This window comes from Homo sapiens, chromosome 12, assembly GCF_000001405.40.
Source record: "Homo sapiens chromosome 12, GRCh38.p14 Primary Assembly".
In the NCBI taxonomy this organism is placed as follows: Eukaryota; Metazoa; Chordata; class Mammalia; order Primates; family Hominidae; genus Homo; species Homo sapiens.
The window spans coordinates 128727998-128748965 of record NC_000012.12 but is presented as its reverse complement, the minus strand read 5'-3'; the positions used below and the strand labels follow the sequence as shown (position 1 = coordinate 128748965).

Below are 20968 nucleotides of genomic sequence, written 5' to 3'. Positions count from 1 at the left end.
AGAGGAGCAGAGAGCCCCAACTGAGCCTGGAGGAACTGGGTCCCCCTCACCTGGGTCTGTGCCTCTGTTTCCCTCCAGAGCAAGGCAAGGGCATCTTCCAGAATGATGCCACTGTCCTGCCCACTTCACAGGCCCTGCACGGCTTGCACTTTCTAGTTTTTGTTTTTGTTCTGTTTTGTTTTTTGTTGAGACAGAGTCTCACTCTGTCCCCCAGGCTGGAGTGCAGTGGCATGATCTCGGCTCACTGCAACCTCCGCCTCCCGGGTTCAAGCGATTCTTCTGCCTCAGCCTGCCGAGTAGCTGGGACTACAGGCGCCCGCCACCATGCCCAGCTAATTTTTGTAATTTTAGTAGAGATGGAGTTTCACCGTATTGGCCCGACTGGTCTCAAACTCCTGAGCTCATGATCTGCCCGCCTCGGCCTCCCAAAGTGCTGGGATTACAGGCGTGAGCCACCACACCCAGCCTGTGCTTTCTAGTTTTTATACATTATCTTTCGAATAGCCTTTTTACATTTAGGGGATGTCTTAGTTTCCCATTGCTGATGTAACAGATACCACCAACTGAAGTGGCTGAAGATGACACACACTTATCATTTCACAGTTCTGCAGGTCAGGAGTCAGAATGCATCTCAAGGGGCTGCTCATCCTCAAGGTGTCTGTGGGGCTGCGTTTCTTCAGGAGGCTCTGGGCAGGAGCTCTTTTCTTGTCTTTTCCAGCTTTGAGAGGCTGCCGGCGTTCCTGGGCTCATGGTCCCTTCTGCGTCCTGAAACCAGCTAAGTGTCCTCTCTCTGTGTCCTCCTACGGGAGTCTTACCTTCCTCTGATTGATGCATGTGCTTCCCTTTATTGCAAGGACCCCTGTGACTACACCACGCCCACCTGGGGAACCCAGGAGAATCTCACAATCCTGAACTCAATCACAGCTACCAAGTTCCTTTGGCCATGAAGGTGACATTTTCACAAATTCCAGGCTGCAGGACATGGACATCTTTGTTCAGCCTCCACAAGGGAAGCCTCACATGATGAATCTCACTTTCCCACTTTAGGGGTCAGAGCCCACATGTCCAGACTCCCCCACCCTGTGCTGTTGCTGAGACACTGGCCGTCGGGGAAGGGCCCCAGCCTCACAGAGGAGAGGAGCGGGAACTAGGCCCCAATGTCAATGTGGAGGCTGGCCAGCAAGTTGCCAAAAATAGACAACAAGCTGGAATCAGAGCAAGGCGTTTGTCACTCACAGGGTACAGGAAATGGAGAGAGCCTCAGCATCACAGAGCCCGCTTCTCTCTCCCAAATGCCACGGTGCAGTGGCTACCCACAAAGCAGGATGCCCCGCAGCTGGGAAGCCCAGGGCTGCAGGCCTGTGGTAGCGCGCGGCCAACGAACCAGTCCTCGTCCCTGTGGAGTTCGCAGGTGCGTGGCAGTCACTCTGTGGGCACCTCAGCCTCCTTGGTTGCCTCCATACCATCTGCAGACAGTGCTCAGTATCAGGGGACGCTATCCTTGCAGCAAGGACACACAAAGATGCCCCAGGACCATGGCAGATTGCTTCCCCCAGCCAGAGTGAGCCTGAGCTGATTTGATGGAATTCCCTGGGATGAGACTTTAGTTCTAAGGGGAACAATGTGAGAAGGAAGCCCAGCCTGGCACTGCCATTTTTTGTTGGCCCCGTTGGTTGAAGATGGGTTTGGCTTTTGGTGGTGGGAGAAGCAGTGGCTATTCTCTCAGTGACTATATATATGGCCAAGTTCCTGGTGCAGAGGTGATGTCCCTCAGGTTGGGGGTCTTCACGCCTGTGCTAGGGGCCCTCTGTGCCCAGTGGGTCAGTAAGAGCTCTATAGCTTTCCCCATCTGGCCAGGCCTGCTGTGTGATTTTGGACATGGTTCCTGGAAATCGGCTTCAATGTAAGTTCTCCAGTCCCGCCAAGGATTCCACAAACTCCCCAATATGCTCGAAAGAAACTTTACCAAGCTCAGTAGCTGGAATCAACCTCTAATCTTGGCAACAACAACAAAAATTTGATCTTAATTAAAGCTGTTCTTAAAACATTACTTCTAGCTGCTGGACTATTTTATCTTCCTTTGCTTATTTTTGCTTGTTAGTGTGTGGCCCTGGAGAAGCTGAGCTGTCTGGGATCCTAGGATTTGTGTGTGTGTGTGTGTGTGTGTGTGTGTGTGTCTGTGTGTTTGCATGTGTATAAATTTAGCAAAGGAAATTCCTGAAAAATTAGCTAGATTTTATACCATTTTGGTTCCTGATAACACAGTGTAAAGTGTGTCTCAAGTCCTGCTGGTTCAGAATGTAAAACTATCTTCTTAAATGCACCTGTCTCTGTGGGGCAGGGTGAGCATTTCTCCAAAACACACCATTTTCTCTGCTAACTCTTCTAAACCAGTGTCTGCAGAAATGTAAAAGGGAATCAGAGAGGAGCATAGTATTAACATTGTCTGTCTCTGAACCAGGAAAACCCAGTCTTCAGCTGCTATTGATTTACTTTCCGTTTGGAGAGGTTGTTATTTGCTCTGATGAAGGCTGAACACAGCTTTTATAAACTATTTCAGCATTGCCCAGGTGAGCACATGCGGACCCCCCACCTCACTGATCTGACAACATCCCAGAGCCGTCCACCTAGAAAAACCCCCTACATTTATATCATATTAAAGACCCTGTTATCTTTTCCAAGCACCTTGGGCTCACAAACAGTTGGGGGTGAAGAGAAGGGAAATGAAAAGGGCGATGTGTCATTTTCTTAAAGACAGGGTGTCAAGACCACAAAAATATTAACTAGGGCAAGAGGAAATATAAAAATAAATATAGCCACTTCTGAATCCCTTTTCAAAATAAACATTTTCTTAATACCAGTGTGTGTAGGGTCCAGGAGTGAATGAGACGCGGTTGCTTATAATCACTCCTGCGCCAGGTGCTCGTTGGGAAAGGGAGGCAAACGCAGCTGGAGTCATTCACAAACAGTCGTGGGGTTGTAGGGGTGAGCAGCATTTGGCCTCTGAAACATACTGATTCTCTGAGGGTTAAGTCATTAGGTAAAGCCCTGTCGTCTTCATCTCTTCTGTTCCCAGTCCTGCATGCATTCTCTCTTCTCTTGGTCACAAAACCATATGATGTTTTGGGGGATGAACCCACTCCACTTTTAGTCTATGAGGTTTTCCTTGGCTCTGGAGGTAGAGACATTTGACTAGGCAATCAGAACACCGAATACCCTTAGCCAGTGATGACTTTATAAGTAGACATGGATGCAGCGATCCAAAAATATTCAATTATATGTATTATTATTTTTTTTTCGAGACAGAGTCTCACTCTGTCGCCCAGGCTGGAGTGCAGTGGCGCAATCTCAGCTCACTGCAAGCTCCGCCTCCCGGGTTCACGCCATTCTCCTGCCTCAGCCTCCCGAGTAGCTGGGACTACAGGTGCCCGCCACCGCGCCCGGCTAATTTTTTGTATTTGTAGTAGAGACTGGGTTTCACCGTGTTAGCCAGGATGGTCTCGATCTCTTGACCTCGTGATCTGCCCACCTCGGCCTCCCAAAGTGCTGGGATTACAGGGGTGAGCCACCGTGCCTGGCAATTATATGTATTTTTTTAATGGTTAGGGAAAAAATGGTTCTTTTTCCTGGAAGTATGGAGAGGCTGTGAAGCAATCTGGGCATTCCCGACAGCCATGGTTCTGCCTGCCTGGAAATGCAGGTAATGCAGGAAATGACAGAACTGAGAGACAGAGAGAGTGACCACACTCAGACCTTGTATGAGCACCTGGATCCAGCTATGCCTGAAGCTTCATAGATCTTTAATTTCAGCTAGCCTCCTCCCTCCACCCCCAAACTTTCTCTTCTTTAGGTCACTTCGAGTTGAATTTCTTATGTCTTGGAACCAAAAGAGTCCCGACTCATATAGAAATCAGGTAAGACTTTCTGTTCTTTCTCCCCTCTACTCCTTGTCTCCCTTTCTGTCTTATTTCATCTTCTCCAGTTCTGCTGTTCTTACGTGTTTTCCCTTCCACTCCAGTTTCTAGCTCTCTGCTAATAATATCATCATGTTTCCTTCAGAGACAAAGTGAATGAATGGCCATTGGTGTTTTAACCACATTAGAATGAAGACAGGCAGGGGGTTGATCCTTGGTCCAAAAGCTCTGCAGAGATTTCCAAATTAGGCTTTATTTATCAAGCATGAATCTCTCCCCTTAAAAGCCAATTTTTCACACACAGAAGGACCTGCACTGAGGAGGCCTGAGATATCTGGGAGTTAATTTTATTTTTGCCTACTCACCAAGGCTTAACATTTACACTCAGGTTTGTGCTTCCAAAGGGAGAGAGGTCATCATTCTCACTCTCTGCATTTCTGTGATTCTCATGAAATGGAATTATATAACCCTGAAGCCTGCAGTTATGAGTGAATATGTTCCAGTATTATTCCGGGTATTTGTGTAGTAAATGTTCTGCTGGAAAAAAATAAAGCAAGCTTAGTTTAGAATTTCTCCTTTCTTACGGTAGAAAATCCCTAATGAGGGCCTGTAACTGCAGCCTCACTCAGGGTCCCTTCTGGATAATACACATTTGCTGTGCTTATTCCCTGAAGAAAAGGAAAAAGAACTTTGACCCTCTGTTTTGGGTAGATGTCGATGAAAGTATTGATAAACTTGTTTCTGAAATAGGCACAATTACACTTTGGCCAGGAAATGCAGGGAAATTGTGTTCTTTTACATGAAAATCAATTACGGAGGCAGCAGCTTCAGAATAATTAGAACATATTAAAATTTTTATGAAATACCAATTCGGACTTCATGAGTGAGAAGAGCCTGAGTACGGACCACAAAGCCCGAAAGAGGTTTCCATGGTAACACCACTTCCCCCCACAATGCTGGTGAGCCCTGGCCATTGCAAATGAGAGGCACGCTCTTTTGAGTTCAACCCACTTCCCTGATTGAAATCCCCCTTCTCTGTCTTGCTCCTGGAGAGGCCATCCCGGGTTTGCTTTTTAAAATATCCCTTCGGCAAATATCACTTGTGACTCCTCAGATGCACTGGGCTTTTCTATTCAAGTGGGAGAAGAGGCAGCCTGAAGGTTCCAGAGTGTCTCTTGGCCCAGCTCACCATCAGTATCAGGAAGATGAAAACGGGGCCGCCCAAGGGCTAATGGAGTCTCAAACTCCCATTCGATTGGGTACCATTGGCCTCACCCCAGACATTTGTGGGGCCCAAAGTGAGAGCATCAGTGGAGGTCCACCTGCCACAGATGTAAATGCTTAAAGGTTACTAATCAGGTGAACAAACAAAATGCGTTCCCTATCCTTGCCTTCAATGTAGGACAGGTGAGCCCCAAAGTTGGGGCTTAGGTTGGAAGGGTTCTCGGCTTTGCCTAGGAAAGAATTCAAGGGCAAGCTGGTGGTGTTAGACAGGAATGTTTTACTGAATGGTACTGCTCCTTGTGGGGCAGGACTAACTCAGGCAGTGCACCCAGAGTTGACAATGTACGGGCTCTTGGCAATTGCATTTATACCTACTTTTAATTATGTGCAAATTAAGGGGAGGGCTACAGCAAATTAAAGGGTGGGTGAGTTAGAACTTTCTAGGAAAGGGACAGTAATTTCCAGGTTGTTGCCAAGGAAAGGGGTGACAACTTCCAATGTGTTCCCATGGTGTTTGTAAACTGTCACGATGCTGGTGGGAGCCTCTTATGCCAATGAGCAATGAGGGCAGCTGGGGATGGCTTTTGTCACCATCTGCTGGTTCTGCCGGTTCTTTCACTTTATCCTGACGGCACCAGATCCTGTTTTGGTCAACGGGGTTGTCACCGGAAAACAAATCCTGCTGGTCTCTTTCCTCACTTTGACACTATGCCTGCATAACAACCCAGAAAGCCAGGCTCCAGTGGAAAACCCTTTGACTCCCTGTAGTTGCACAGGACATGGTACATACAACAGCGAAAGCCAGCCTCAGCCTTGATGCCCGGCGGTGGGTTGCTCACCTTCCCTGCCTCCCGCATCTTTCTCCTGCAATTGGAGAGGCCTCACCTGTCTGCATGCAAACACCTGTCCCCTCCCTCCCGCATCTTTCTTCTGCAATTGTGGAGGCCTCACCTGTCTGCATGCAAACACCTGTCCTCAGAAGCCAGCTCTGCTTAGATTCCCTGCAAACAGCTACTCCCTGGGTGCCTCTCTGGGCCAGGCTGGGTACATGGGCTTCATGGTCCTCTCTTGGGAGGTCAGCCTCAAGGTAGAGGCCCTTACTGCTCTGGAAATAGTCCTGGGGCCATTGTGCAGAGGATTCTCGGGTCCAGCTCTGTGGAGCATAGTCTAGAAGTGGATACCAAAGCCTTGGTGGACACCTCCCGTTGGCCTGTGAATTAGTCTGCTGGGGTTGCCATAACAAAATGCCACAGACTGCATGGCTTTAATAACAGAAATTTATTTTATCACAGTCTGGGGGCTAAAAGTCTAAGATGAAGGTGTCAGCAGGTTTGGTTTCTCCAGAGGCCCCTCTCTTGGTTGGGGTCAGCCTTCTTCTCTCTTTCTCACCGAGGCCTCTCATGGTCTTTCCTCCGTGCACACGCATCGCTGGTGCCTCTGTGTGTCCAAATGTCTTCTTACCACCACACCAGTCAGACTGTATTAGGGCCAACCTAATAGACTCATTTTAACTTAATCATCTCTTTAAAAGGTCCTATCTCCAAACGCAGTCACATTCTGAGATATTGGGGGTTAGGGCTTCAACAGATGCATTTTTAAAGAGACATAATTCAGCTCATCATAGCCTCCTTCACAGGGAGGAACACAGGTAAATGATAATGCAAGGGCAGAGGAACACTGGAGCGGGGTCCTCCGAAGTGTGGGGCCAGGGCAGAGACCCACCGTGCCCACGTGTAAGAGCCAGACTGCACTTTTTATTTGTTTGCTGCTGAAGCTAATGGTCTGGCTTCCCTGCTTTCGGTGACCTCTTTTCACTGCTGGACCATTTAAATGGCGTCCTCAGATCCTAGGATCATATCTATCCATTGCACTAATTCCGTGATGAGCTCTCTCTGGGTAAATCACAAAGCTTTCTTCGTAGATCCCCCAGGTGGGAGTGCAGCCAACATTAGGCCAGTATTAATGGGCCATCAGCACAATTGAACATGGTCCGCTCATAGAAAGTCACCGAAACTGTTGTTAGATTAATCATTTTCAGAACTAAAGAAAGGAAAAAAAAAATCTGCCAGTGATATTGATGAGAGAAGCAGATTTCTAGCAGTTTCCAAAAGAGAAGGCATTTTCTCCACAAGGGAAATGCAGAAAACGGTCGTTTTGGATAGAAAAGCTTTTCTTGATTGATCAAACGATTCAGAGTTTACATTTTAGGCCAAGGGAGCACTGAACTGAGGTTGCTTTTTTTCCTCCTCTCAAGAGACAGCTGAGTTTGACCCTTTGCTAATATGGAAACATCAGTGAACCGTCGATTTTCCTTTGCAGACGGCCAGCGAAGTGAAAATCGGTCCAGCAGACACATGCTTAACTTGTCAATCTGCACCGGTCAGGTACCATTGTCTGACAAATCCCTCAGGATTACATCTTGTCCAATTTTTCTCCCCAGCAACAAAGAGAATATGATAGAATTTGCTGAATGCAGATACTCAAAGAAAACTCCCCACTTGTAGACAAGCCTGTGCGTTCCTGAGGCCCACTGCAGAGGTTTCTCATCCAGTTTCAACACAATAATAAAGAACAAATAAGCAATTCTTTGTTGTAGCAATTAGGAATGCTACTAGTAATACCAATATCTGCACTGAGTAGTTTCAAAGAGCTGAGCAGTGGGTGAAGTGTTTTGCTTGTATTATGAGAATATCTTCCCAATGACATTGGAAGTGAGCCATCACTCCCATTTTACAGCTGAGCAAACTGAGGATGAAAGTCACTAAGTAACTTGCTAATGGCCACTCAGCTTATAGGAAGTCCCTGAGCCAGCCAGATATTGTTTTCTTTTCTCGTTTGTTTTTTTGAGATGGAGTCGCGCTCAGTCACCCAGACTGGAGTGCAGTGGTGTGATCTCGGCTCACTGCAACCTCCACCTCCCAGGTTCAAGCAATTCTCCTGCCTCAGCCTCCCGAGTAGCTGCGACTACAGGTGTGCATCACTATGCCTGGCTAATTTTTGTATTTTTAGTAGAGATGGGGTTTCGCCATGTTGGCCAGGCTGGTCTTAAACTCCTGACCTCAGGTGATCTGCCCTCCTTGGCCTCCCAAAGTGCTGGGATTATAGACATGAGCCACCGTGCCCAGCTAGATTTTCTTTTAAATGTAAAATTAAATGGTTTTTAGTATATTTATGGAGCTGTGCAACCACCACCATGGTCAATTTTAGAAAATTGTCATCACTCCCCAAAGAAACCCCAGACCCTTTAGCTATCACTTCCCTAATCACCATTCTCCCCAGCCCAAAGCAGCACTCTACTTTCTATCTCTATGGATGTGCCTATTCTGAACATTTCATACAAATGGAATTGCACAGCGTTTGTCCTTCTGTGTCTGCCTTCTTTTCCCTCAGCATCATGTTTTCAAGGCTCATCCATGTCATAGCATGTATCTGATTCTGATTCCTTTATTATGACTGAATAATATTCCATTGCAGGGATTAGACCACATTTTGTTTATCCAGTTACCCACTGATGGACATTCAGGTTGTGTCCACCTATTGCTACTGTGAATAATGCTATGAACATTATATATAAGTTTTTATGGGAGCACCTGTTTTCAGTTCTCTTGAGTATATACCTAGGAGTGGAATCTGAGCCAGGGCTTGAGCTGGGTTTGTCTGGCTGCTGATTTTATTTGTATTTTTATTTTTATTTTTTGGAGATGGAGTCTCACTCTGTTGCCCAGGCTGGAATGCAATGGCACAATCTTGGCTCACTGCAACCTCCACCTCCTGGGTTCAAGCGATTCTCTGGCCTCAGCCTCCCAGGTAGCTGGGATTACAGGCACCTGCCATCATGCCCGGCTAATTTTTGTATTTTTCATGTTGGCCAGGCTCATCTTGAACTCCTGAGCTCAGGTGATCCACCCACCTAAGCCTCCCAAAGTGCTGGGATTACAGGCGTGAGCCACCGCACCCAACTTGCTTATGTTAGTAACCAATAACTTTGGGAAAAGCAAAGCTCTTCTGCCCATGAAATAGCTCAGGTGGAAACTGGTTGGCTACTGAAGGATCTGGTCAATATTGGCTATCCAGATGATATGGTTTTTCTCTGTGTCCCTGTCCAAATCTCATCTTGTAGCTCCCATAATTTCCATGTGTTATGGAAGGGACCCAGTAAGAGGTGATTGAATTATGGGGCCAGGTCTTTCCAATGCTGTTCTTGTGATAGTGAATGAGTCTTATGAGATCTGATGGTTTTACAAATGGGAGTTTCCCTGCACAAGCTCTCTCTTTGCCTGCCGCCATCCATGTAAGATGTGACTTGCTCCTCCTTGCCTTCAACCATGATTGTGAGGCCTCCCCAGCCACATGGAACTATAAGTCCATTAAACCTCTTTCTTTTGTAAATTGCCCAGTCTTTGGTATGTCTTTATCAGCAGTGTGAAAACAGACTAATACATCAGATGTGACAAGTGCCCCCCTCATTCTTTTCTTTTTTTTTCCCACAACCTTCCAACTGGACATGACATACTACCGACTTCTGGCCAGAATGTGGCCATCAGGCGAGTTTTGCTTTTCCCTTAGAGTATGTTTACATTATTGTTGTTGTTAGTAGTTGAAACACCTTCAGATGGACCATCACCTCCCTGGTCCCCTACTCCCTATCACTTCTCACCAAGCTTTTCATAGTCCCTGTCTTGACCCTGGAAGCCCTCATTATTGAAAGTGTAATCCCTGAATCAGCCACATCACATCAGTATCCCCAGGTCACTGATTCTCAGGTCTCCAGGTGCAGAATCTCAGGTCCCTGCCCCAGCCCCTCCGAATGACAATCTGCATTTAATTAACAAGATCCCTGGGCAATGCTTACACACTGGAAGGGTTGAGAAGTGCTGGTTTAAGCAGCTGAGTTTGCAACCCTTGCTCTATGTGACTTCAAAAGCGTGAGTTAAGATAGACACCTGGGTTCATGGGTTCTCAGCTTCCTAGACACTAATTTTTCATCCCTGTCAAGATCTTAGAACAACCACATTTATTTCTATCTGGCTGGATGAGTCTAATAATCGGCTGTGATGTCCTCAGCTTATCTGAGACAGATCATACAAACTATTCCTTACCTTTGAGTACTTAGCGAGCTCTTCTAAGGATCTGAAGGGACTGAAAAGTCTTGGACAGAATGTGAAAGAGATCCAACTCATCAGCTTGTTTCTAGAAACAGTCTCTTCCTTGGAAATTTTATAAATAACTTTTTCTGATTATATGGGCAATCTATATTTATTATAGTAAATTTAGAAAATAAAGAAGAGCATACAGAGTAAATAAGAGTTAGGCTTAGTGCCACATAGAAGGCACATTACCTCTAAATAGCTAGTTTTTTTTTTCCTGAAAATACACTTACACACAGCATGCATGCATACACACACACTCTTTAAAAATACAAAATTTAGATCATATGGTAGGCACTGTTTTGTGAACTTCTTTTCCCTCAAAGTATATTGTAAAGATTTTTTCAAATTCACACGAGTAATTATTTTTTCATTCAAATTACTAAGGTAATACTAGTCTGTGGTAGGAGAATAAAGGCCCCCAAATATGCCCATGTTGGCCAGGTGTGGTGGTTCACTCCTGTTAATTCCAGCACTTTGGGAGGCCGAGGTGGGTGGATGGCTTGAGGCCAGGAGTTCGAAACCAGCCTGGCCAACATGACACAATCCTGTCTCCACAAAAAATACAAAAATTAGCCGGTATGGTGGCACATGCCTATAATCCCAGCTACTCAGGAGGCTGAGGCAGGAGAATTGTTTGAACCTGAGAGGCAGAGTTTGCAATGAGCCAAGACTGCACCACTGAACTCAGCTCTATCCTGGGCAATGGAGCGAGATTCTGTCTAAAAAAAATAAAAAAGAAAAGGAAAGAAAGAAAGAAAGAGAAAAGAAAAGAAAGAAAAGAAAGAGAGACGCCCATGTCCTAATCCCTGTGACTTGTGACTATGTTACTTTATCAGGTTTTCTGTGTGAGTCTAATGTAATCACGGGAAAGAGTGAGACAAGAGTCAGAGATGTGCTGCTGAAAGCAGAAAAGGAGTGTGATTCACAGTGAGACAGACTTAACCAGTCATTGCTAGCTTTGAAGAGGAAGGAGCTCAGAGTCTGGAGAAATCTTCAGATGGGACAATGCTGGCTTTACAGGTGGAGAAAGTGGCCATAAGCCAAGGAGTACAGGTGGCCTTTGGACACTGAAAACATCAAGGAGACAGATTTTGCCCTGGAGCCCCTAGAAGGAATGCTGTCCTGCCAATGCCTTGATATAGCCCAGTGTGACCCATTTCACACTACTTCCAGAAAGGTCAGATAATCTAAGCCAGCAGGTTTATAGTATTGTTATAATAGCAACAAGAAACTAACACATGGTTTGTGGTGTTACAGTTCAGAAGAAGTATTAATGAGAAGCAATATTCTTTTGTATCCACCCCAAACATTCCCTAGTTCTACTGACAATTTTTAACCATTTCTAATTTGTGTGATTTTGTGCCTATCTCTATAAAGCGTCATTTACCTATACTGTGATTTTTTTTTTGTTTTTAATCAACTTTAGACATTATCTAAGGACTCTCAGCTATGCAGACTGTCACTACCTCCCTTTCCAGGTCTCCTTAAATTGTTGATGGCCATATACTTACTTTAAATTCCTTAACTGGTGAGATATATACATGTATATAACAAACAGCAATCTCTACTTCTTGACCCATCAATGCTAAATTTTATCTTGTGATGGCTACGTGACAGATGGGAATATAAGTGCTTTTGATATATTTTCTGCCTTCCTTTTCTTTCTTCTTCAGGCAGCTTACCTTTGGGTTGATCACACAAAGTTTAATAAGATTTATTGTTTGGCATCCTGGATCCAAAACTCTCTGCTTAAATATACATTGATTCTAAAAGTTGAAAATTAGTATAACATGAGTACATTATTATGTACATTAACACTTTTTGCACCGTCATAGAGAGTCCTAGAATATAATTGTTCATTCTTCAGTTCTAATAAAATGAGCCTATTCCATCCACTAAGTCAACAGTCACTCATGGTCTCAACATACAAAGAATGTGTTATCTTCATATTGCCATTGAGAACCCATAGATCCTTATTGCTTAACCCAAGGCCGTGATTTTTTTTGTGCAGTTTGTTGTTTCTTCAGAGTTCATGAATTGCTTTTTCTTTGTCTTACAGAGAGAAAATATATACTCTCACCATGTTGCTAAGATCTTCTAGCCTTCTCCTCATCCCAGCTCCTGAAATAAATTCCTCCATTTTTCTTCTTAAAGATATTCTCCCATGAGACATTGACTTCTTTCTTCAGTTTCAATAGATGTTTTCTGTCTACTGCAGAGATGTTATTGTTTTCTTTCTGATGGAGGCCAAGGTTAGTCCAACAGTTTCTTGGGTCCCGTATCTTCTTCTCTAGGATTTTTTTCTAAGAATTTTTTTTTCTTTTCTTGTTCACCTTCTGCACATTTAAGGTAGGTAGGTCAATATTATTGGCCTTTTTTTTTTCTTTTTTTTTTTGAGACAGGGTCTTTCTCTGTTACCCAGGCTGGAGTGCAATGGTGCAGTCATGGTTCACTGTAGCCTGGAGCTCCCTGGACTCAAGTGATCCTCCCACCTCAGCCTCCTAAATGGCTGAAACTACAGGAGCACACCACCATGCCCGGCTAAATTTTTTTTTTTTTTTTTGAGACAGAGTCTTGCTCTCTCGCCCAGGCTGGAGCTCAGTGGCGCGATCTCGGCTCACTGCAACCTCCGCTTCCCAGGTTCAAGCAATTCTGCGTCACCCTCCCAGGTAGCTGGGACTACACGCACATGCTGCCCACATCCAGTTAATTTTTTGTATTTTAGTAGAGACAGGGTTTCACCGTGTTGCCCGGGCTGGTTGCAGACTCCTGAGCTCAGGCAATCCACCTGCCTCGGCCTCCCAAAGTGCTGGGATGACAGGCGTGAGCCACCACGCCCGACCATGCCAGGCTAATTTTTAAAATTTTTTGTAGAGCTGGGGCTTTGCCATGTTGCCCAGGCTGGTCTTGAACTCCCAAGCTCCAGTGATTTGCCTGCCTTGGCCTCCCTGAGTGCTGTGATTACAGGCGTGAGTCACCGCATGCAGCAGGATTTTCATCTGTAAGGAACATCTTCAAAAAAGGGTAGAGTCTGGGGGTCTTTTCATGTCTGAAAAGGACCTTACTTTGCACTCCCCATTGCATGATAGTAGGCCTGAGTTTAAATGTCTAGTCCTGAAGTCGTTTTTCCTTGAAGTCTGGAAGAAATTGTTCCACATTTCTGTGGCAGTGAGTGTTGCTGATGAAAAGTTTGATGCAAGTCTGATTCTTAATTTCTTTATAGGTGAATTTTTTCCTCTCTTGGAGCTTTTAGGATATTTATTTTATCTTTAAAGTTCTGAAATTTCATGAGGATATGTTAAATTCGTTTAGTTAATTTTAATTAATATGTAAAATTACTTTAGTTCTGAAATTTCATGAGTATAGGTGTTTTAAAGGTACTGTGTTCACATGAGGTGACCCATGTGTCTCTATACTTCTGGACACTTTTATTATTTCTTTAATATTTTTCTCCCCTCTGTCATCTCTAGCGTCTCTTCTTTGAGCTTCTTATAGTTCCTGTCTTGCATTTTGTTCTAGGAAAATTCCTCCAGTTTATTTTCCAGCCATTCAATTTAATTTTTAATTTTGGCAATGTTATTTTTAAATTTCCAAGAGCGGAGCAGTTGGTCTCTGACTGTTTCTTTGCAATGTTCTTATTTTCTGCATATAGTTGCTCCAAATATGATTATTAGTGTTCCTTTAAGCTGTCTTCCATCTTCTAAGAGGCTGTGTCTGTGAAATATGTCTATGTCCTATGTGGTCAGCTGAACTGCTTGCTTTTATTGTTCTTTGTGTTTCTTCATATGCCTCACCAACGTGTAGCAGCGTCAGTGAAACAGGTGCAACAAAAAAAGAATTGCCAGTTTGGAAGGTAACAGATGATGGACTGTTTTCATTTGTCATCATGAACATCTCTTAGATGCTTATTGATTCTTTGTATTTCTCCTTTTGCCAGGGAATGGGTCATTAGATAAAACACAAAAATGAAGCTGGAAAGGGATAGCTAAGAAAGAAATTCTCTGGCATCACTGAGTCCTCATTAAATGCTGCACGTCTTTCGCTGCTCTCTAAGTCTGAATCTCCTGGCGCTCCGCCTTCTCCCTTCCCCTCACTGATAAGAAACAGATCCCCAGGATGAGTTACTCCATTCATCCAGGAAGGGAGATGAATTAGTCAAGACCAAACAGGAAAGAAAGACTTCTATGAGGCTTCAGAAAATACTCAGCTAATGAGAAAAGAGACTTTCTGGCAGCTGCCCTCCTTTGTCTTCTCTGCTCTCTTCTTGCCACGACATCAGGCATGTCTACCTTTTTCATTAGATTGCTCCAAATGAAGAGAATTCACCAAGGTGCAGAGGCTCCTCTTTGGAAGTTATGCGGTAAGCTCTTTAGAAATGCAGGCACAGGCTGAATCAGAGAAAAAAGCCCTCATTATTTGGGCATGCTTGCAAGATTTGAACCCTTGTGCAGGGATTGGGGTCAGAGCAAATAGACCACGACAGCAGATACAGATTAACCCCCTGTGCTGTGGAGATTCTTCTGCTGGAGGAGTTTCCTGCATCTCCCATAACACGGTACCACAAACTGGGTGGTACTTTGCTTAAAACAACAGCAATTTATTCTCTCATGGTTCTGGAGACCAGAAGCTGAAATCAAGGTGTCAGCTGGCCACGTTCCCTCAAAAGCCTCTAGGGGAGAATTCCTTCTTGCTTCTGGGGATTGCTGGCCATTCTGGGCTTGTGGCTGCCTCACTCCAGTCTCTGCCTCTATCTTCACAATCCGTCTTTCCTCTGCATATGTCAGTGGCTTCAGATGGTGATGATAGAAGGATGCCAGTCATTGAATTTAGGGCTCTCTTGACTCCAGAATGACTTCATCTTAATTAATTCACTTGCAAACAGTTGTTTTGAAATAAGGTCATATTCTGAGGTTTGGGTGACATGAATTTTAGGGAACTCCATTCAACTCAGTATATGTGCCAAGGATGACTTCTTTTCCTACCACCAAAAATTCAGAGCATCACTCCCCCTTTCTGTTCTCTTTATTGTTGCAAAATTCCCATGTATGGTTGATTGCATTTTGCAAAGATGGCTGCACTACTACATCTCCCATCCCACCTGCTCTAATGCTGTGACAGGGTGGGCTCATGGAATCTATGTCTCCTCCCTTGAACTTGGGTGGACCTTTAGACTAACAGAACACAATGGTTACTGATGATGAATGACTTCCGAGACTAGGTCATAGTTATGGTTTCTGCCTTATGCGCATGTTCTTGTTCTCTCTCTCTCGCTTTCTCTCTCTCTCTCCTCTCTCTTCTCCTTCTCTCTCTCTTTCTTCCTCTCTCTGTCTCTCTCTCCTTGTGCTTTGGCACCTGAACTACCATATAAGAAGTCCAGTCCAGCTACCCTGACACCACCGTGCTGGAGAAACCTCTTGGATAAACCACATGCAGAGACATGTTCAAATCTTCCAAGCCTCATGATCAAGAAGCTTCAAGATGGTCCTAGCACCAGCCCACATCCAACTGGACCTACATGGAGGGTCTGACCCAGAACCAACCAGCTGAGCCACTCCTGAATGACCAACCTACAGAAACCAGAAGAGGTGATAAATGATGATTGTGTTTTGAAGAATGAAGTTTTGGGGTGGGTTGTCATATAGAAAATGGGTAGCTAATTCATTGCCACTTCAGGAAAATGGAGAATCTGCAAGGGGGGCTTCTCTTGCAAATCCCAAAGGCCACCTGCCTGCTGAGTTCTTGAACCTCTTCATTATTAGCTGATTCTGGGCCCCAAAAGAGGAGCTTCTCCAAGACACAAAGAACTTCTCCCTACATGGTTCTCCCTGCCCCTCAACCAAACCTCTCCCATGTGCTGACGCTCCAGGAAGTGGAGACAAGAAGTGACAAGAAAGAGTGGCTTCTCTCCTCTACAAATGGGAAAGGCATGGAGAGGAGCCTTTGTGGCTCAGCCTTCTACAAGCCTTGCTCCTAGAGCAGGCAGTTGGGGGTGGGGCCCAAGATGAAACAGTGTTTTTTTTTTCAGAATCTCTCAAGGCTGGACCCTGACCAGCCTGCAAGTCACCTGCTCCACCATCTGTGGCTCTCAGGAAAGCTCAGGGAGACCACTCAGTCTTCTCAGGCTGTACCTCCCCTCCTTCCTCTTCTCACCCCGCCTAGGCCATAGAGATGGGCTATGCCTCATCCTCAAAGTGCCTCCCAGGAAGTAGAGGGAGGGAGCAGGGAGCATGATGAGGGAAGAACAGAATTCATCATCTCGAGGCTTTATCAAGGTTACAGCTGTGGTAAGGGAAGCTCAACTCTGCAAGGCTCACCTCACAAGTTTCCAGAATGCATCTCCAAATTGTCCAGCTGAAGACTGGAAGACTGGAGCCCTTACCCAGGGGGTCTAACCCCCTTTTGGCTGCAGGGCCTCTGGGGCATCAAGACCCCCACTACAGATTGCACTGGTCCTTGTGATAAGTGGCCTTCTAACTCAGAGAAGTCTCTTGGAAGGAAGAGGAGAGGCAGGGAGCACTGGAGCTGCACAGAGTCAAGGCTGGATGAGGCTGTGCCGTGCAGAACTGCCCTGCAGCTGCAGCTGCTTCCAGAGGCAGGCGAGGGCCCCTGATGCTAGAAGCACCCACCACATTTCATGAGCACACTTTCACCAGCTCCTGATGTTGTATGGCTTGGTGGTCTAACTCCATGGTCTAGCTTCACTGTCAAACATGTAGGGGAAGAAAAGATTCGTATTTTTCTCTACCTTCTTAGATTCATTGACTAGAGCTCTGCAAGTTAGACCAACAAAACAGATTAACCAGAGAAAAACAAACAGGAAGTTTATTGATGTGTGTGTCCTGCATACACACGGGAGAACTCTGATGCGTAACTCAAAGGGATGCTCAGAGCTTGGGCTGATGTTGCATCTGCAGTGAACTGAGTGTGTGTCCCTCCCAAATTCATATGTTGAAATCCTAATCCCTAGAGGGATGGCATTAGGAAATGGGGTCTTTGGAAGGTGATTAGATCAGAAAAGTGGAGCTCTCATGAGTGGGATTAGTGCCTGTACAAAAGGGATCCCCAAAGCTCCCTCTTTGCTCTGTGCCACATGAGGACAGAGTGAGGAGATGGCCATTGTGAACTTGGAGGAGATCCCTCACCAGAACCTGACCACATTGGCACTCTGGTCTCGGATTTCTAGCTCCCAGGACTGTGAGAAATAAATTTCTGTTGTTTATAAGTCACCCTGAGTGGGCTAGGACAGCATCTTAACGAAGAACAACAATTTTGTAGAGAAGTGATAAAACACAAGAACTTTGAGCTTCTAGGACAGCAAGTTGTGGGCAGGTAAAGGTATGAGACAAACGAAAGGACAGCGAGGCTCGTAGGTTTGCTGTGTGGATCTCTTTGATGTCATCGCTGGGCCGATGAGGACTGGAATTGTGTCTGGTGACAGAGAATCATCCTGCCCTTCTTGTAGAAAGCGAGTTCATGGAGATTTGTCCTGTGTCTGCTTCTCAATTGCTTTTAGCTCAAAATAATTCCCATGTCAGAGGGGTGCGTTTGGGGGTGACGTACTCTGAACTCCTACTGCCTTCAAATACCACCAGACGCTTGAGATATGATGTGGCGAGTCTGAATGGAGATGTGCCCTCAGTATTCTGCACACTGAATTTTGAAGCCTTAGTGAAAAAATACAAACTATCTCATTGAAAAATTTTGGTATTGATAGGCCGGGCGCAGTGGCTCACACCTGTAATCCCAGCACTTTGTACGGCCGAGGCGGGTGGATCACGAGGTCTGGAGTTCAAGACCAGCCTGGCCAAGATGGTGAAACCCTATTTCTACTAAAAATACAAAAATTAGCTGGGCATGGTGGCAGGCCCCTGTAGTCCCAGCTATTCAGGACGCTGAGGCAGGAGCATCGCTTGAACCTGGGAGTTGCAGGTTGCAGTGAGCCGAAATTGTGCCACTGCATTCCAGCCTGGGCGACAGAGCGAGACTCCGTCTCAAAAAAAATTTTTTTTGGTATTGATTACATGTAGGAAGGATAATAGTTTAGGTAAAGAGTATTAAATAAAATGTTATTAAAATATATTTCACCCCTTTTTTACTTTTTAATACAGCTTCTAGAAAAGTAACATTACACACATATGGCTTGCATTGTGTTTCTGCCTTTTTTTTTTTTTTTTTTTTTTTTTTTTAGATAGAGTCTTGCTCTGTTATCTGAGCTGGAGTGCAGTGGTGCAATCACAGCTTACTACAGCCTGCAGCTTTGACCTCCCAGGTTCAACCGATTCTCCTGCCTCTGCCTCCCAAGTAGGTGGGACTACAGGCACGCCCCACTAATTTTTGTACTTTTTGTGGAGACAGGGTTTCACCAATTTACCTAGGTTGGTCTTGAACTCAGATGCTCAAGTCATCCACCTACCTCGACTTTCCAAAGTGCTGGGATTACAGGTATGAGCCACTGCGCCTGGTCATGGTATTATATTTCTAAGGACAGCATAGGTTAAATGCCTGTGAGTCACACACACATCTAACACTTGTATTCAGAAGCTATTGTGTGTAAAGTGCAGGGGACCCACGTGGGAGCATGAACAGACAGTTTCTGTCTTTATAGAGCTTACAGTTTAGTGCAAAGCTGTGCACCATGCCAACAGTCTCCCTGTGTTAAGAACTGACTGAGTCAGACTTTTGGCTTGAGCATGCAATCAGGCATGGGCGGCCTTGCACATAAGTATGTCCAGCTCAACCTCTGAGGACATCGCTTATGTAAGAGACATCTACAGAGGGAGCGGGCTAGAAAACAGACCCGTCTGCTTCCCCAAACTTTTTCTCACTCCCTCGCCATCTGTTAACCCAGTAGCAGCTCACCTGGCAAAGGCAGTGTGCGGTCAGGTCCCTAGCAGCCTTGTGGGCAGGACTGTGTTGTTTGATAGCTGGGAAGAATGATAACCTCATTAGTCACCCAAGAGGAAGCAGACCTCTTTCCCTAAAACCTGCTTGTCTTTGATTAACCAAAGAGGAAAAAATAGACCGAAGAGGATGGCACTGGGTGTCAGATGAGGGTAGGAAGGGAAAAGGAGAGAAAGGATGGAAGGCTAGTGTACAAATGACACAGAGGCTTTGCATCCCAGTTGGTGTAGCCTCTCTGTGGCTGACTCTTTTTTTTTTTTTTTTTTTGAGGCAGAGTCTTGCTCTGTTGCCCAGGCTGGAGTGCAGTGGCACGATCTCGACTCACTGCAACCTCTGCTTCCCAGGTTCAAGCGATTCTCCTGCTTCAGCCTCCTGAGTAGCTGGGACTACAGGTGCATGCCACCATGCCTGGTTAATTTTTGTATTTTTAGTAGAGATGCGGTTTTACCATGTTGGCCAGGATGGTCTCAATCTGACTTCATGACCCACCGGCCTCAGCCTCCCAAAGTGCTGGGATTACAGGCGTGAGCCACTGCACCTGGCTGTGGCTGACTCTTTGGTTCTGAGGTTTTAGTTTGGAACTGAAATGGAGCTTAAGCTCTTTCCTACACAACAGGTGCAATTTTGCTAATTTATGCTTGGGGCTGTTGGCAGGTGGGCTTCCCTGTAAACAATGGCACGGTATGCCTGCTTCCTGCAGAGTGTTTCCCAACCTGCAGCTAAATATCTGCCAGGTCATGAGGGGGAGTGAAAGCAAGGAGCACAGGTCTGGGGGGTTGGCTGCCCTTGAAAGCTGCATAGAAGAAAAATCCATATCTGCTTGTCGCCTCATCCCTCCCTGACTCACGGAGATCAGAGAAAACACACTAGGAGTCCCTATTCACTGAAAATTCCTCATATTTACTGAAAATTCCTCAGGCATTTAGCATCATATTGTTATAGAAAAGGGGTCTCTAGTTCAGACCCCAGAGAGGGTTCTTAGATCTTATGTAAAAAGAATTCAGGGCCAGTCCATAGAGTAAAGTGAAAGCAAGTTTATTAGGAAAGTAAAGGAATACAAGAATGGCAGCTCCATAGGCAGAGCAGGGCCTTCCTGAAAGTAAGAGGAGGAACGCGTCCACCCTAAGTATAATACTCATATATATATATAGGATTTTAAAAGATCATGGGGAAATATGTTCTGCTACAAGGGTTTGTGATATAAGATTAATTTTCTTAATTACTATACTTTGCAAGAATCAATATTATTATCTTTAAAGCAAAATGAGGAATGCCTTTGTTCTCAAGATATCAGGATACCAAGACACTCCCAAGTCTGGGCCTGTTTAGTAAATATTATCAATCTGTTCCCTTAACCGTAAACATCTAGAGGCTAGCAACACCTAACTTCCTGGGAAGGCAGCTCAGCAAGCCCCAGCCTCGTTTTCCAGCCCTCACTCAAGATGGAGTCGCTGTGGTTTGAATGCCTCTGACAGTATGCTAAACATTTTGCTTGCAGAATGCTTCTACATGAGGAATAGTGAGGTGCAGTGGGTAGGGACAGGGCCACTGGATCCAGGCTGCTGGAGTTTGAATGTGGACTTTACGCCTTGGTAGCTAGAAGACCATGACTAAGCTGCTTGGCCTCTGGTTGACTCACTTTTCTCATATGTAAAAGGGTGGCAGCAATAACACCACTGTTACAGTAGGTAGCTAGGCAGACATGAGCGGGGCAGGAGAGGCCCAACCTGCCCCAGGAATGGTCAGAGGGTTGTTAACTGTGTCTCTAAAATAATAATT

At 45.4% G+C, this 20968-nt stretch overlaps 1 annotated feature.

Moving 5' to 3' along the window:
* Positions 20469 to 20968: an enhancer, noted in NCBI's record as "H3K27ac hESC enhancer chr12:129212543-129213042 (GRCh37/hg19 assembly coordinates)". NCBI's record gives its function as "activates a minimal SCP1, AML or CMV promoter by ChIP-STARR-seq in primed H9 embryonic stem cells {active_cell/tissue: H9 hESC(primed)}" and the evidence as "EXISTENCE:reporter gene assay evidence [ECO:0000049][PMID:30033119]".